Source organism: Homo sapiens, chromosome 2 (genome assembly GCF_000001405.40).
Source record: "Homo sapiens chromosome 2, GRCh38.p14 Primary Assembly".
Classification (NCBI taxonomy): domain Eukaryota; kingdom Metazoa; phylum Chordata; class Mammalia; order Primates; family Hominidae; genus Homo; species Homo sapiens.
In genome coordinates this window covers 97,632,961-97,650,041 of record NC_000002.12, presented here as the reverse complement: position 1 = coordinate 97,650,041, position 17,081 = coordinate 97,632,961, and the positions used below count along the sequence as shown (strand labels likewise).

At 41.1% G+C, this 17,081-nt stretch overlaps 1 protein-coding gene and 1 pseudogene across 1 annotated transcript, besides 3 other annotated features; one reads left to right on the top strand and one right to left on the bottom strand.

Moving 5' to 3' along the window:
* Positions 1 to 1,658: 1,658 nt before the first annotated feature.
* COX5B (cytochrome c oxidase subunit 5B) lies at positions 1,659 to 3,980 on the bottom strand. Its single transcript, NM_001862.3, has 4 exons — positions 3,853 to 3,980; positions 2,902 to 2,975; positions 2,599 to 2,698; positions 1,659 to 2,046 (listed from the first exon to the last, which is right to left on the bottom strand). The coding sequence occupies exons 1-4, from the start codon at positions 3,953 to 3,955 to the stop codon at positions 1,934 to 1,936; spliced, it is 390 nt and encodes a 129-aa protein (NP_001853.2). The 5' UTR covers positions 3,956 to 3,980; the 3' UTR covers positions 1,659 to 1,933.
* Positions 3,876 to 4,055: an enhancer, noted in NCBI's record as "active region_16239". NCBI's record gives its function as "activates an Ori minimal core promoter by ATAC-STARR-seq in GM12878 lymphoblastoid cells {active_cell/tissue: GM12878}" and the evidence as "EXISTENCE:reporter gene assay evidence [ECO:0000049][PMID:35858748]".
* Positions 4,088 to 5,022: an enhancer, noted in NCBI's record as "NANOG-H3K27ac-H3K4me1 hESC enhancer chr2:98261483-98262417 (GRCh37/hg19 assembly coordinates)". NCBI's record gives its function as "activates a minimal SCP1, AML or CMV promoter by ChIP-STARR-seq in naive H9 embryonic stem cells {active_cell/tissue: H9 hESC(naive)}" and the evidence as "EXISTENCE:reporter gene assay evidence [ECO:0000049][PMID:30033119]".
* Positions 4,236 to 4,285: an enhancer, noted in NCBI's record as "active region_16238". NCBI's record gives its function as "activates an Ori minimal core promoter by ATAC-STARR-seq in GM12878 lymphoblastoid cells {active_cell/tissue: GM12878}" and the evidence as "EXISTENCE:reporter gene assay evidence [ECO:0000049][PMID:35858748]".
* On the top strand, positions 12,277 to 13,457 carry UBTFL6 (UBTF like 6 (pseudogene); annotated as a pseudogene).

The window sequence follows — 17,081 nt, the reverse complement described above, 5'->3', positions numbered from 1 at the left end:
GCCCTTCCCAGCTTTTAGAATAGCTACTTGCCTTCCTTGGCTCGTGGACCCCTTCCTCCATCTTCAAAGCCACCAACATTGCATCTCTCTGACCATTCTGAGTCACATCTCTGACTCTCTTTTGCCTCTTTTGTGCTTTTTGGATCCACCTGGATAATCTGGGAATAACTGTTTTAAGGTCAGCTGATTAGCAACCTGAATTCCATCTGTAGTCTTAATTCCTTCTTGCTATGTGACCTAACATATTCACAGATTCTAGGGATTTATGACGCGGACATCTTTGGGGGATCATTATTCTGCCTGCCACTGTCTGGAAATGTACTGGAGATTTTTCTTTCCGCTTGTTTTTTTGGTTTGAGACAAGGTCTTGCTTTGTCACCCAGGCTGGAGTGCAGTGGCACGGTCATGGCTCACTGAAGCCTCAAACTCCTGGGTTCAAGTGGTCCTTTCCACCTCAGCCTCCCAAAGTGTTGTGGTTACAGGCATGAGCCACCATGCCCAGCCAATTTTTCTTTACAAGTAAATTGGTTAAATTTTAAAAAAGAAAAGCAAAGACTTGGAGATGAGGGAGGGAGAAAACAGACTGGATTAATGATGTGGGGAGTCAAAAGTCTCCCTCAGCCGAGTTTGAGTTGGAAGAGATGTGGAAAGGGAAAGGCAGGCCAGCCACACAGGAGGGCTTAGTGACAGCACAGACTAATCTCATGGGCGTGTAGGGGTTAGATTTCACAGGGGGTTATCTGAGAGCTCCCCTTCCCAGAGGAAAGGGCCTTAAATGGCAGGTCAGTGCTTAGACATTTCCTGGACACAGGTCATGAACAACAAGGATGGAAGCAATAGCTTTGACTACACCTTCAGGATGGGCAAGATGAGGGGAAGGGGCTTTTCTCTGACTCTATCAGCTCCCACTGAAATACCTACTTTCGACCAATTTTGTGAAGATAGTAACTGAAGCCACCTCTGGCTAATCTCCACACAAAATGAAAAGGTATTTCCATTTTGTAGGTAAGAGGGTTTTGAGATTTTAACTTGTCCCAAGGTGTCACAGGTATGAAGCAGCTAAAGTGGGCTTTTTTGGCATTTCTCCCCTCCCTTATTCCTGTGCGTATCTCAAGCATTAAAAAAAACAAAACAAAACTATATAAATACCTGAAAGGGTGGTAAATGTCTACATATCAAATATCCAGAGTTCAAATTCTTCTCAATTTTTTTTCCTTTATAATTGTTTTCAAATCAAGATCTAAACAAGGTGTGCATGCTGCTGACTGGTATCTCCCTTATCTGTTTCTCCACATGTTCTCCCTAGCTTTTCCCCCCACTCCTTGCAATTTATTTGAAGAAACATGGTCAGTGATTTCTGAAATTGTTCCATATTCTGAATTTTGCTGCTGGTATCCCCATGAATTCTTACTTTGCACCTGGGTCCCTCAAGACTTCAAAATCCCCAAAACTCTCTTCACAAGGCCACCCTGTCTCTATGAGGATACTGTGAGGACCTACTATCCACTCAGCTCTTTACATATTAAGCACCTTGTAAGGTACTTACCTTTTTGTAGTTGTACTTGACCCCCAGAGAACATGTCCACAGAGATAGAGCCAAATGATGGAGCCAATATTTTAAGTCCTGTCAGCCTGACTCCTCAGCCCGCCCCTTTCTCTCATACCAGGTGGTCCCATTCATTGCATTACGGGTTGTCGATCTATTCTTATTATTAATCTAAGCACTATACACTGGTTATACACTTTCAGTAAGTGGATGGCAAGCTAGCATTAACAGACAGCTTTTCCCAAAATAAGCATATTCCATGCCTACCAAAGAATACGGGTAAGAAATAAGACCAGCCATCTATGGGAGAAGGAGCCAATGCAATGGCTAGTCTTTACTGGAAAGAAGAAACTTTACAGCACATTTTGAGTAATTTAGTGCAGGTGCTCAGTGTGCCAGCTGCTGGGGCACCAGCTTGTAATGGGCTCCACAGCGGGGGCATCGCTGGGCCTCGCCTTTGTGCAGCCAAAACCAGACGACGCTGGTATTGTCCTCTTCACCTAAAAGGGAAAAAAGGTGGTTTATGGTCATCCAACCTAGAAAGGGAGACTTTCAACATGAATTTCTTTTCCTCAGACATCTCTGATACACAAGTAAGACTATGGTTGATATCTTAAGAGATCAGTTCAAGCCCTCCTCCCATTCTTCAGATGAAGAAATTGAGGCTCTGAGTTCACCTATGAGTAAACTGACCTTGTATCAAGGTCACTGTAAATTCTAACAATTCCCTTGCCTATGTAGAACGCAAAGCAGGGTCCGTTCTGGTATGTATCCCTAGTGTCTAAAATGATGCCTGGCATAGAAGCAGTATAACAATAAATATTTGCTGGGTGGGTACTCCTTCATGCCGCACTCCCAGTGAGCCAGTCTTACCGCTGTGCTGCGCTTCTTTCCAGTAAGGATGAACTATCAGGCATAATGAGGCTTGAGAGTGTCAAGACCCTTAGACAAACTTACCAACATGCACTCACACACTGAAGATTTGAGGCAGCTTACACACTATTGTAGGATATATTAAGCAAGTGGATAAAAAATAGAGGTGAGGTACTTACAGATGCAGCCTACTATTCTCTTGTTGGAGATGGAGGGGACTAAATTAGGGTCTTCCCTGGTGCCTGAAGCTCCCTTTGGGGCCAGTACATTGTATGGGTCCTGAAGAAAAAACAAAAAACAAAACAAAACAAAAAAAACAAGAATTGAACCATTAGGCCAAATAAGCCCTACCTTCCAGAAGCTCAGGGGACTGTTCCTACAAGCCAAGTTTCCTGTATCAAATACTCCCAGAGAGGAGACCACTATGAACACATCCAAGGCCATAAGTTACACAGAAGACACAGAAGGGAGTTTCTCCTTACCAGTCCCTTCTTTGCAGCCAGCATGATCTCCCTCTCCAACCCAGTCGCCTGCTCTTCATCAGTGGGAACACCACCTAAAGGAAGATAACGTGAATTATGACGCTGACTGAAATGACTGATAGAAAAACTACAAACAGAAATGATCAAGGAAAATGGTGCCCCGAAACTTCTGTATAAGTTTTAGCGGGCTCACAAGCTCCTAAAGGCTACTCATATCCATGGTCCCCTAAGAACCACCAAGTACCCATCCACACAAGCGGCAGCACTCGGGGGAGCTTTTTTTTTCTTTTTTGAGACGGAGTTTTGCTCTTGTTGCCCAGGCTGGAGTGCAATGGCGCGATGTTGGCTCACGGGAACCTCCGCCTCCCGGGTTTAAGCGATTCTCCTGCCTCAGCCTCCCGAGTAGCTGGGACTACAGGCGCGCGCCACCACGCCCGGCTAATTTTTGTATTTTTAGTAGAAACGGGGTTTTACCATGTTGGCCAGGCTGGTCTTGAGCTCCTGACCTCAGGGGATCTGTCCGCCTCGGCCTCCCAAAGTGCTGGGATTACAGTTGTGAGCCACCGCGCCCGGCCTATGAGCTTTTCTTTCTCCAACCACCGAGGCAAATTTGTCGACATTTGTCTAAAAGCATGTAGAACCCACTCTGCTTGAGGTGGGCGCAGGTTTGAAGGGAGGCCGGACCCCTCCCCATCCCGGTGGCAGCCCCGGTCCCTCCCAAGGTCACCCGGCACCTCCGTTTAGGATACTTTCGCAGCGGAGTGAGTTCGGGGAGCGGCAGGAGCAGCGGTCCAGAATTACAGGGAGATGCCTGCAGAGCCTGAGGCACTGGGGACCGTAAAGCGGCCACTGGGACCTCGAGAAGCTGCACGAGCCGCGCCGCTTTGCCGCCCTGGGACCACCCTGGGAGGGCAACACTCTGGTCCCTGGCACGCCCGGAGACCCGAGTACCTCCAGATGCCATGGAGCGCATCGCGGCCGCGCCACTGGGGCCGCGAGCCCTCAGGGCCTGCGCGGCCAGCGTTCCAGCTCCGCGAAGTAACCTTGAAGCCATTGCGTCCGCGACTAGCAGCAAAACTTCCGGGAACAAGCTGCAGAGACAGGAGGGACTTCCGGGGGCGGGCTTCTTTCTCCTCTCGGTCAGCTTTCGGCTTCCTCCCAGCCCTCGAGCCCGCCCACTCCCAAGACTGTGGCGGGGGCGGAAATTGCGCATGCCCAGCTCTGCCTCTTTCTGCACCGCGTAGTGGCTGAGGCTTGGGGGCGGGGTTGCCTTTAATAACGCTGGGAGGTGGGAAAGTCTTTTTGGTCCCTGGAGTTGAGCGGCTGAACCACATTGGAGTTCCTGTGGGTCTGGCCCCGTAGTCGTGTTCAGCAAACGTGGAGGCTGCTAATGGAAGCTATTAGGTCCCCGTCTGTGAAGAGACTTACTGAACCCCAAATGATTTGAATTTAGAAGTGGGCTCCTAAAGATCACTGCGTTCCTTACTAGGCTGGTTAGTGGCAGGGCTGGTTCTGGCAGTGCGTGGGCCGTCGCGAGCGTGTCGCATTGGACGGGACCTACCTGCAGTCCTGGCCCAGTTTCGTGTTAGAGTTGTACTGTGTGTGGGAGGCGCGGAGGTCCCGGCCTGGGGAGGAGGACAGGGCCGGGGGCGGGACCCCCTACCAGGACCAAGGCCCTGGTGATGTGAAGGAAGTGGCCACTCTTTTTCGAGGCTACTAAGGGAGGAGGAGCAGGAAGGGGAGTTGATAATAGGAAATGGAGTTAGAGCCTGCTGTGACTGGAGTTCCTTGTTTGAAACGGAAAACATATTCCGTCCATGGCTTCCCGTTGCCCATAGGCTAAGATGTGCAAATTTCTTAGGGTGAGCTTTAGTCAGTATAGCCCTGTGACAGGCTAGCTGCATGCGGTATCTGAGTTTCCCTACCAGATAGAAAAATCCCCTTAGAGTGGGAATTAATGCTCATCATTGAATCTTCAATGCCTTGCAGAGGTCTGGTATATAGTAGGATCCAGTAATTTTAGTAAATTTACTACTTGGATAGAGTATACAAAACCAGTTTATAGGGCTTTTCCTGGCCCAGTGAGGTCAATTGGAGGCAACATGGGGAGAGTTGAAGGCTTAGGTGCTCCCGCCTGTCTCATGCAGGCTACGGTATTTTCAAAAGGACGTGGTGGAGCGTTGCTTCACAGGAGCACGTCTGGTCTTCCTGGGTGCCCCCTCCACCAATTAAAAAAAAAAAAAAAAAAACCCTGTATTCTAAGGCCAAAATTTCTTTAAAGGTGGTTTTTGCTTTGAATGGCTTCACTGTTACTCCCTTCTCCCTCACCTCCACTGCAACCCCTCCAAGTTGAATTGGGCGAAAATTCTGAGGATCTGTAGTTAATTTGCAACTGTGGTTAAGGTCTTAGGCAGGAGAAAAAAGCATTGGTCTGGAAAGTAGCCCCACCAGCTAGTTCAGCTACTTTTTATCCTTTGGGCCGCCATTTCTACATCAGTAAAACTGTCGTTCAACTAGGTTAGTATTTCCCAAAGTGTATTGCATGGCATCCAAGTCTCAAGACATGATCTCAAGAAAAAGGACTTGGTCAAGACAGGGAGGGCCTGCATTTGATGACCACCCTTTTGGAGATGGACACTAGCATAATAAAGGCTCTGATTAGGCTTGCAGTAAAGACCTCTTATTTAATTTACCTGCAGTTTAAGCCAGAGTTTCCCTGTCTTAATTGACCACAAAATCCTTTCTGAGGAACACCTACTAACTTGCCCCTCAGCAAACCAGTGAGGTATTCAGCTCTGATATGTTATGATTCCCTGCTGCCTGACCAGAAGTGGTTTACTCCAGGCTATAAAATGGAAATTGAGTTTAGGCTTCTCACTCTCATAGTAGGCTTGCCTAATAATAGGAAATTTTCGCAGGCCCTCATCCAACTCAGGAAAACCTCAGCCTCACTCTGGGATTATTTAGATTGTGTGAGTGAGCTCCAAGGTCAGGTCCAGGCTCCCCAGATGTCCCCGCATCCCTTGCTGCTTCCAGCTCCCACCACTGTCAACTCACACCCAGTCCCTCAGGTCTCCTTTGGAAACAGTTGGCTTGGGGAACAGTCTGCCACCTCTGCTCTATCATTGTCTTTGCCAGCACAATAAACTTATTTTTATAGGATAATTTTCAGTTGTCAAAATAAATGTACATTATAAGTTGAACAGCACAGATATATAAGGAACAAGCTAGCAGTTTGGTGCTTATCCTTTTTTTCCTTTCCCTATGACAGAGTTTCTCAAGCTCAGCACAACTGACATCTTGGGTTGATAATTCTTTGAGGGAGGTTGTGCATTGTAGGATTTAACCCTATGTCATTAGCACCTCCCTGACATGATAACCAAAAATATCTTCAGCCATTGCCACATGCCCCCTGGATTTGCAAAATTCCCATTGAGCATCACTGCATATATGAATATAAAATATAAAAACATAACTACTATACAAAGTTTTAGTTAGTTGCTTCTTTCATTAAAAAATATTTTGTAGGCTGGGTGCGGTGGCTCACACCTGTAATCCTAGCACTTTGGGAGGCTGAGGCAGGCAGATCACCTGAGGTCAGGAGTTCAAAACCAGCTTGGCCGACATGGCGAAACCCTGTCTCTACTAAAAATACAAAAATTAGCTGGGAGCGGTGGTGGGCGCCTGTAATCCCAGCTACGTGGGAGACCGAGGCAGGAGAATCACTTGCACCCGGGAGGCAGAGGTTGCAGTGAGCCAAGATCACATCATTGCACTCCAGCCTGGGCGACAGAGCAAGACTCCGGCTCAAAAAATATATATATTTTGTAGATGTCCCTTCAGATCAATACATCTAGATCTTAACTTACGTGATGGCTGCAGAATATTCCCTACTGTGAATGTACGTTAATGTGCCCAGCCATTCTCCCATGATGAATATTCCAAAGGCTTCTAGTTTTTTGCCTCTCATACAATGCTGCAGTATATTCTCATACAATATCTGAGAGTATATTCTTATAGAAGCAAATATTTCATTTTCAGTAGAAGCTTATGCTCATTAACAAATGGCCATAAAATGTTTTTTTAAAAGTTGATAATTTTAAAAATAATATCAGCAAGCTTTTACCATTAAAATCTCCAAGGGGTTTAGTCCTTTTGATATTTTTCTGTACATGTTTTTGTCTATATCCACCTTTGTCTATTTTTTAAAAAAATTTTTCTAAAATAAGTCATATTTATTTATTGTATTTTAAAGCTCAAAATGTATTTAAACATTTTATTAATTTAGGCTCTTTTAAATAATATCTTATTTGATATGTTCAGTTAATTACTAGTTGGTAAGTTTAGATATAAAGTTTTTAAATGGCAGAGGTCTATTTCATAAATTATGAAGCCTGAGGTTGTCAAACCCTAATTTGATCAATGCACAATTTATACATGTATCAAAATATTATATCGTATGTCATACATATGTGCAATTTTTATATATTGATTAAAAATGAAAATTTAAAAATTATTGAAATAAGTTGTCATTTAAATAAAGGTTTTTTTGATTAGTTTGAATTTAGTAAAAATGCTTTAAATAAAATCACCTGAATATTTTTTATGCACAGTACCTATTTCATTTCCCTGAGTTTAAAATTAAATCAGCCATAGGTGCCAGACATTGAGGCTCTACTTGTCTTTTTCCAAAACCATCCATCATGGTCATTAGCATTTTGGTCTTCAAATCTAAAGACTGGTAGAAATTGATCAGTACTGAAGGGATTTACATGTCGATGAGCCAGGTGAGATGGTAGCAGATCCTAGATTTCAGTGAAGAAAGGGCAGAAATTATCAAAGAATGGAATGATGTATTCAAATATCATATAAAAATACTATCAGATGTGGGAGCAGAAATGAAAGTAGACTTGGGGCCCCAAAAAATCAAACATGAATTTGCCACGTGGGTGTTGTTTAATAATCAATGACAAAAGCCAGGCATGGTGGCTCACACCTGTGATTCCAGCACTTTGGGAGGCCAAGGCGGGCAGATCACTGGAGGTCAGGAGTCTGAGACCAGCCTGGCCAACATGGTGAAACTCTGCCTCTACTAAAAATACAAAATCAGCCGGGCCTGGTGGCACATGCCTGTAATCTGAACAACTCGGGAGGCTGAGACAGGAGAATCCCTTGAACCTGGGAGGCAGAGGTTGTGGTGAGCCGAGATCATGCCATTGCACTCCAGCCTGGATGACAGAGGGTGACTCCCTCTCTAAATAAATAAATAAATAAATAAATAAATAAATAAATAAATGACAAGATAAACCAGCACTAACCACAACTAGAGGGTGTTTGTAGAGGGCTATTTACAGAGATTAGAAATTGAGTTGATGTAAACAATGGTGGAAGGGTAAATCCTTTCATTGGTCCTCTGTACTGCAGAAACCTAATAAGGGAGGGGATTTAAGGATCCTATAATACATTGGCCTCCAAAAAGCAAGGCTTATTATTTATAGAGGCATTTGGAATTTGCTAGACTGTGGAAATCTCAGAGAATAACATCTGTTATCCAGAAAGCCCAGGGGACACCCAACTCCTGAGCCAAATGCATGAATTTTCCTGCAAGCACTGTTCAGACCAGTTATAGAATATTCAGGTGAGTATGTCCTTTAATTTTTTTTTTGTTTATAAAATTGTGAACTTCTGGACGGAAAGTCCTGGATATTTTACAGTTTTATCTATAGCATGACATCTAGAATTTAATTGGAAACATTTATTGTAGAATATGAAAAGTTCTGTGTTGTCTGTAACTTCAGGTTGCATGCAGCCTTGGTCGTCTGCAAAGTTTTCAAAGTGCTCAAAGGCACTTTTTTATTTTCCTAATATTCCACTGAAGTTTTTATTTATGTAATGGTATTTTTAATTTACAAAATCTATTTTGTTGTTTGAATGTTCTTTTCAAAGTCTCTTGTTATTTTTTGATATTTTTACTCTATAAAATAGAAAACATGACTTTGTGAAGGTTATACATTTTTATTTATTTATTTTTATTTTTTACTTTTCATGTCACAAAAATTAAAAAAATTAATAAAAATTAAAAATTAAGAATTCATACAGCTTCACAAAGTCACAGGAGTCCATACATTATGTTTAAGATCAAAACTTACCCTCAAATGGTTCAAGGATAAAAGGATGTCTTAAACTTCTAAGTATTTTACAAGTGATGATGATAAAAAGTAAAAAGTAAACAAATAAAAGATGTATTCTAACACAGAAAAGGGGGCAATCACATACAGTTCACAAGGTTAATTTTTTTGAGACAGGGTCTCACTCTGTTGCCTAGTCTGAAGTGCACTGATACAATCAAGGCTCACTGAAGTCTTGCCCTCCTGTGCCCAAGCCATCCTCTCACCTCAGCCTCCAGAGTGGCTGGGACTACAGGCACTACAAGTGTGGGTCTGGCTAAATTTTTGTTTTTCTAGAGATGGGGTCTCTCTATGTTGCCCAGGCTGGTCTCAAACTCCTGAGCTCAAGCAATCTTCTTGCTTCAGCCTCCCAAAGTGTTGAAATTACAGGCGTGAGCCACCGTGCCTGGCCCTGTATAAATTCTTAGTATTTCCCAGCTTCTTTCTTTCTTTTTTTAAGAGATTTCTTTTTTTAAGGGGATTTCTCACTTGTTGCCCAGGCTTATCTTGAACTCCTGAGTTCAAGTGATCCTCCCATCTTAGGCTCCTAAAGTGCTGGGATTACAGGCATGAGCCTCCACACCTGGTCGCAGTTTCATCATGGAAGTAATAGAACAGCAAGCATAAAATGACCTCATAGAAATTCAAGGCGAAAAATAAGATATTAATAATAAGTGTAAAACATTTACATTTTAGTTTGCTGGGGCTGCTGTAATAAACTATCACAGATAAAACAATAATTTGCTCTCTCACATACTGAAAACCTAAAATTTAAAATCAACACGTTGACAGAGTTGGTTCCCATTGGGGATTCTGAGTAGAAATCCAGCCCCTCCCTGTCTGCTGGTTTCTGATGGCTGATGGGAACATTTAGCTTTCATTGGCTTGTGGCAGCATAGCTCCAGTGAGCTCTGTCTCTGCCTCTGTCTCCACATGGCTGTCGATGTGTCTCAGATCTTCCTTTGATTTCTTCTATAATGATACGAGTCATTGGACTTAGGTCCCACCCTAAACCCAGACTAATCTCATTAGGAGATTACCAAGGTAATTACATCTGCAAAGATCCTATTTTCAAAAGGTCATATTCACAGGTTTCAGGGGTTAGGACTTAGACACATATTTTGGGGGGCCACGCTCTTTGGCAATTTGAAAAAATGTCTGGCTCATAAAAGAGCCACATAACAACAAAAACACAACTGTATTTTTATTTTCACTGCTTTATACGCATCATCCTAACATTTACAATTGGGAAGACAGTACTTCTTTTCCTAAATTCAGATTCTGAGTATTCCACATCTCTTTTCTAACATCAAGTCTATGTGACTTCCCCTTTTTCCGAGTTAGAATACATCTTATATTTATTTATGTATTTATTTTTTATAATCATCACTTACAATATATTTGGAAGTTTGACATCTTTTTATCCCTGAACCATTTCAGAGTATGTTTTGATCTTAAACACAAAGTATGAAATCAAATATTTTTTAATTTTTTTATTTTCCTTTGTGAATGTTACTTTTTTCTTAATTACTCTCCTGTTACATTATTACGTTTATTTTTATTTTTTTAGGACACTAATGAACTGACTTTTTTCAGATTTTTGAGGTTAAAAATTCAATAACTTTCAAGTTTACCCTCTTCTAAGTTTTTCACAGTTTATTTTAATGCTTTTTTATAAATTTTAATTTTTATTTATATTTTCATTTATTATGAACAATTTTCCAAAAGTCTTTTTCACATAATAAATTTGATATATGAGCTATTCTTTATTTTATCTTCTACCTCAAATATGGACTTGAATTATTATCCAATATTTTAAAACATTTTAATCTCTATGTTAAGGAATTTGTGTTTTGAGGCATGTGATATTATAACATTCTTCACACTTCTAGTGAATTTTTAACGTCATTCAAAGGCTACATCCTTCTATACTCTACTGAGAATTAAAAATAGTTCTCAAAAATATTCTCACATATTCTGAAACTCATTCTCAGAATTTCAACCTCCACTGGCATCTTAACTCTGTTCTCTTTCCCTTCTAATGCATATTTTCCCCTGAAGTCCCCATGTTACACTCCTTATGCACCCTCTGTTTAAGATCTGGTTTCATTTAATGTTGTATGTGTTTGTACACAATTTTACTGAAGTTAGGCTTTGTCTTAGAATAGAAGATTATCCTAAAAAGACTAGTGAAAGAGTTATGAGAATTTGGAGAATTAGTTGGGAAATCATGTCCCAGAGGAATTACTTTAGGCAAAACAAAATTGGTAAAAAAATAAATAAATAAAATTTAAAAAAAATAAGCAGTAGTTATCGGATCTGCCATGTTTTCAAGTTCTATAATGGAAAATGCCAGGTATTTTGGAGGCACTTTCCGGAGGAAGTCAAACTTTCACTGAGGCTTAAAGATGATGAACAGTTAACCAAATAAAATTGAAATGTTTTATAATTGTCATTAAATCCTTGATATTTAAAAGGAGAAGCGGTATGGTTCACTAGAAAGCATTCATTCCCATGCATGGTTCCTGGAGAATCTTTAATTCAGTCTTTTATCACAGATTCACATTCCCTCACAAAAAGGTAACAACAGTTGGATGCATGTCTGGAGGAGCTCTTGGGCTTGTCCTATTGCATCTTTAACTTCTCATCTGCACCTTTAGCTATGGCTATTTGGGCTGTGCTTAGAAAATGGTCATACTCAGGGCACTGTAGAATGAACAGTCTTTCCCGTTTAGGCATTTCTCCTTCCACTTTAACTCTTGACTCTGTCTTCAGGGCATTTCTGTTCTATTAAGCTTCTTAAGTGATGAGTGGTCTGGTGTTTGCCTTATGCAACTCAATTTAAGATCGGTTCATGCGAGATCTGGCAGAAAGAAGGCTGGGGTGGGGTGCGGAGATATTGAATATTGCGCATGTAGCATATGAAAGGCAAATATGGATTTTCATTCAGAAATGGGCTATATTTTATTTATATCATTGAGTAAATTAATTATACAAGGGACATATGACAAATAGGGTGTAATTTTTTTCATTAATCCCAATGAAGCAGAGTAACTTTCTTTTCTTTCTCCTCAGAAATACAGAATCATACATACTGCAGGACTTCCAGAAAGAAATCATCCACTGACTCTTAAAAGTAAGGAACTCTGTGTTCTTACTCTGGTGTCTGCATAACCGGGATCTTATAAGTAAGCCAAAGACATCAAAGTGGCTTTGCCTAGAAGCCAAGGCCATTGGTCCAACGCAGACATCTTGAGGTTACTGGAATGCATGGAGAATAATCTCCCATATGATGACAACGGCACGTTCAGCTCAACTCAGTCACACATGGACTGGGGAAAAGTAGCTTTTAAAAACTTTTCTGGTGAAATGTGCAGACTCAAATGGTTAGAGATTTCTTGCAGCTTGAGAAAATTCAGCACTTTGAAAAAATTAGTCCTGGAAGCTAAGAAATGTGTTAAAAATACAAACAAAAGCCAAAAAGGCAGGAACCATCCAGACTTTCCAAAGAGGCTCCTTACTGCTTATATCCGCTTCTTCAAGGAGAATTGGCCCCAGTACTCCCAAATGTACCCTGGGATGAGAAGCCAGGAAGTGACCAAAATCCTGTCAAAGAAATACAAGGAGCTCCCAGAGCAGATGAAACAGAAACATATTCAGGATTTCCGGAAGGAAAAGCAAGAATTTGAGGAAAAACTTGCTCGATTCAGGGAAGAACACCCTGATTTAGACCAGAAGGGCAAGAAATCTGATATCTGCAAGAGGGTTCAAACCAAAGTGCAAAAGAAGGTTCAGAAAAATATTGAAGAAGTGAGGTCTCTTCCAAAAACGGATCAATTTTTCAAGAAGGTAAAATTTCATGGAGAGCCTCAGAAACCCCCCATGAATGGATACCAGAAGTTTCACCAAGATTCCTGGTCAAGTAAGGAGCTGCAACATTTGTCCCTGAGGGAGCGCATGGTAGAGATTGGCAGACGCTGGCAGCGCATCCCGCAGAGCCAGAAGGATCATTACAAGAGCCAGGCTGAGTTGCTGCAGAAGGAATACAAAGTGGAATTGGATCTCTGGCTCAAGACTTTGTCACCTGAAGATTATGCTGCATACAAAGAATCGACCTATGCTAAGGGTAAGAATATGGCGATGATGGGAGGCCCGGCCCCCAGCTTGAAACAAACAGATCCGCAGTCCTCATCAGCAAAGGGTCTGCAAGAAGGGTTTGGGGAGGGGCAGGGGCTCCAGGCTGCAGGAACAGAGGCATCACAGACTATTTGGGTAAACTGTCAGGTCTCTATGGAACCAGAAGACAACAGGAAGAAAGATGGCGAAGAGGAAGAAAGCAGTAACTCTTTAGACTGCAGCAGTGGGGAAGACATGGAAGTTGATGTCTGAGGGCAGTGACTCTAGTGCAGCTTCCTCAGAGGACTTCTAACTGGGACTCCACCTGACTCAGACTCTGCCTGACTCAGACTCCAGGGTCAGGCAGAGTTTCTCCGCAAAAGCCCATTCATGCCATCCGTGTCAAGGAAAAGGGACTGTCCTTCTGCCTCTTTTTACTTCTTTGCTTTTTTTTTCTCTTTTCTTCCTTCCCCGCTCTCCTCCTCTACACAAAGTAGGACAGGTTGGAAAGAAGCGACTTGGTGCAGCAGCCTCTTACATCAGGATTACAAACCTGGGAGGGACTCTTTGGGGAGAATAAATATAAATTTGAGCCAATACCAACCTTATCCTTAAAAAACAGACAAATATCATCCCTTTCCCAGTGAATTTTGTGCAATTAAAGCTTCTGGAATGAAGTGATGATTAGGTGTAGGGTACACACTGTATTAGACTGAATATTTCTGAAGCAAGAAGCTTTGCTTTACTCATTTTTGTTCTGCTAAAGGCAGTAAGAAGACACCCATGAGCCTGGGACCCCGACTTTCCCTGTGGAAATGTTTTTCAGGACTCCTGCACTTAATCTAGGGTTGGGGATATTTGATGAAAGGTGGGGTAGGTGTCTTAAGAAAATTGTACTCTTGATATCTCGCTCCTCCACTCCCTGAAGTAAGGAGTTGGTCACTTGCATGCCTGGGAGTAGGCAGCAATATTTCTATATATGTGTCTGACTCTTAGCTTTCATTGAGACTTTTCTTTCTCATTTCAAAAAAAAAAATGAAAATACAAAATAAAAACTTACCTATTTCATCGGAATGAGCTCCTCCACAGAATCCCTTATGACATTGGGTGCAGCATCTCTAAGTGCCATCTGCATTTATTCTTGAAGCTCCAAATATTTTCTGCTGATTCAGGTGCAAGTGAATCTCACCTTAAGCACTCAGGATTGATAGAAAGATGCACAGAAAGACACATATAGATAAATACACTATTCTGTTTCACTATCTGCTCTATGAATTCATGCACCAATATAACATTGTTTTAATTTTTTTTGGTTAACTAATATGTTTGAAAATCAACCTAAGGTTAGTGCCTTCTCAGTATACCTTTATTCTCTTAAACATTTCTGGCTATTTTCATATTTTGTTCTCATGAACATAAGCATCACAGAAGTAGATGTATACTTTTTATATGAAAACCATTGACTATCATGTGTTTATTTTGTCCCTAGATATCTTAGTAAATTTTTATTTATAAGTTTTTTCTAGGTAAATAAGTTTCAGAGAATAATGAAAATATTTACCATTTTATACCTCTAAATGTATCAGATTAAAATATCCAGGAGAATGTTAAGCAATAATAAAGTAATATGTTCTTGGCTTGCTTCTGACTTTCAATCTAATGCTTACAGAATTTAAAATCATGAAAATTATGCTGATGTGTACATTTGAAATAAATTACAAAAAAATAAGAAAATTGCTATTTACTGTTATTATTATTTGGTTAACTTTATAATGTATATCGATTTTTAACAAATTTATTTTGTTAAATTTATCATATATTTATGTAATTTTTCCTTAGTGTATTAGTCATCATCCTTCAGAGAAACAGTAGCACCAAAATAGAGAGAGAAACAGAATGACAGAGAGAGAGATAGAATAATACAGAGAGGAGACAGAGAGAGACAGATAGGGTGTCTTGTCACCCAGGCTGCAGTGCAGTGGTGTGATCTGGGCTCACTGCAACAACCGCCTCCTAGATTGAAGCGATTCTCCTGCCTCAGCCTCCTAAGTAGCTGGAATTACAGGCACCTGCCACCACGCCTGACTAATTTTTGTATTTTTAGTAAAGACAGGGCTTCGCCATGTTGGCCAGGCTGGTCTCGAACTCCTGACCTCAAGTGATCCGCCCACCCAGAAAGACCAATTTTATTATGAAGAATTGTCTGACAAAATTGTGGAGGCAAAAAATACCATGATCTGCAATCTGCAAGCTGGTCACTTAGGAAAGCCAGCGGTGTCATTCAATCTGAGTCTGAAGGCCTGGGGACCAGGGAAGCCAATGGTGTAAACCCCAAGTCAAGGGTAAGAGAAGAGAAGATGAGATGTACTAGCTTAAGAAGTGAGGCAGGAACAAAAGGGTCAAACTCCTCTGTCATCTGCCCTTTGTTCTATTCAGGAGCTACTGGGGAGGGAAACCTACTTTACAGAGACCAATTCAAGCTGACACATAAAATTTACTATCACACTTTCATTTTCTTACAGATTCTGGGGATTTAGGCATTTTCACCATTTTTTCATGAATTCTAGATGGCTGATGGGTTGAATTTATTTAGAAAATGTATTTGCATATTATGCCCCTTGTTTCGCTTCTTAACATCAAGTTTGCAAAATTAAAGACCTGATTCTTTTTACTTCCAATTTAGAAGATACTGTAAGTCACATTTGCCACTAAGTGGTAGTAAGGCCTATAGCTCAGGCTAGATGGTGAGATGTACAAATGCAATTGGGACTTTGCTTGTGATTTTAAATACAGCATTTTAAAATTTATTCTGCATCTACTCTTTTTTAAGTCTTGCCCTCCTTATGTGTGACACACAGATGAAAGATACAATTCTTGACTTCATGACACTCAGAGTTAAAGATGGTGGGGGGAGGGGAGAGTCTGAAGAAATTATATCAATATTCTACAAATATATCAATATTCTAAATTTCTATCAATATTCTACAGTCTCTTCCAGAAAATAGAAGCAGAGAGAATACTTCCTAACTCATCCTAAGAGGCCAGTATTACCCTAATACCAAAATCACACAAAGCCATTATAAGAAAATAAAACTATGGGACCAATATCTCTCATGAACATAGATGCAAAATTCCTCAACAAAATAAAGGCAAGTAGAATCTAACAATGTAAACAAAGGATTATACACCAAGACAAAGAGGGATTTATCCCAGGTATGCAAAGCTGGTTTAATATTCAAAACTTATATAGATATATAAATTATCACACCAACAGGCTAAAGAAGAAAAATCACGATTATATCAATAGATGCAGAAATCACATTTTGACGAAATACAACACCCATGATAAAAAACTCTCAGTAAACTAGTACTAGAGGGGAACTTCCTCAACTTGATAAAGAACATCTGCAAAAAACCTATAGCTAACATTATACTTAATGGTGAGAAACAGCTTTCCTGCTAAGATCAGGAACAAAGCAAGTATGTCTCCTCTCACCACTCTTTTTCAACATTGTGCCAGAGTCTTAGCTAATGTGATAACACAAGCAAGGGAAATAAAAGGTATACAGATTGGAAAGGAGGAAAAAATATACTCTCTGTTTGCAGCTGACATGTTTGTCTATATAGAAAATCTGAAAAGAATAAGCAAAAAAATTCTAGGCTGGGCATATTGGTTCACACCTGTAATCCTAGCACTTTGGGAGGCCAAGGTGGGTGGATCACTTGAGCCCAGGAGTTCAGAGACCAGCCTGGGCAACCTGACAAAACCCTGTCTCTACCAAAAATACAAAAATTAGCTGGGCATGGTGGTGCATGCCTGTAATCCCAGCTACTTGGGAGGCTGAGATGAGAGAATCGCATGAATCTGGGAGGCGGAGTTTGCAGTGAGCCTAGATC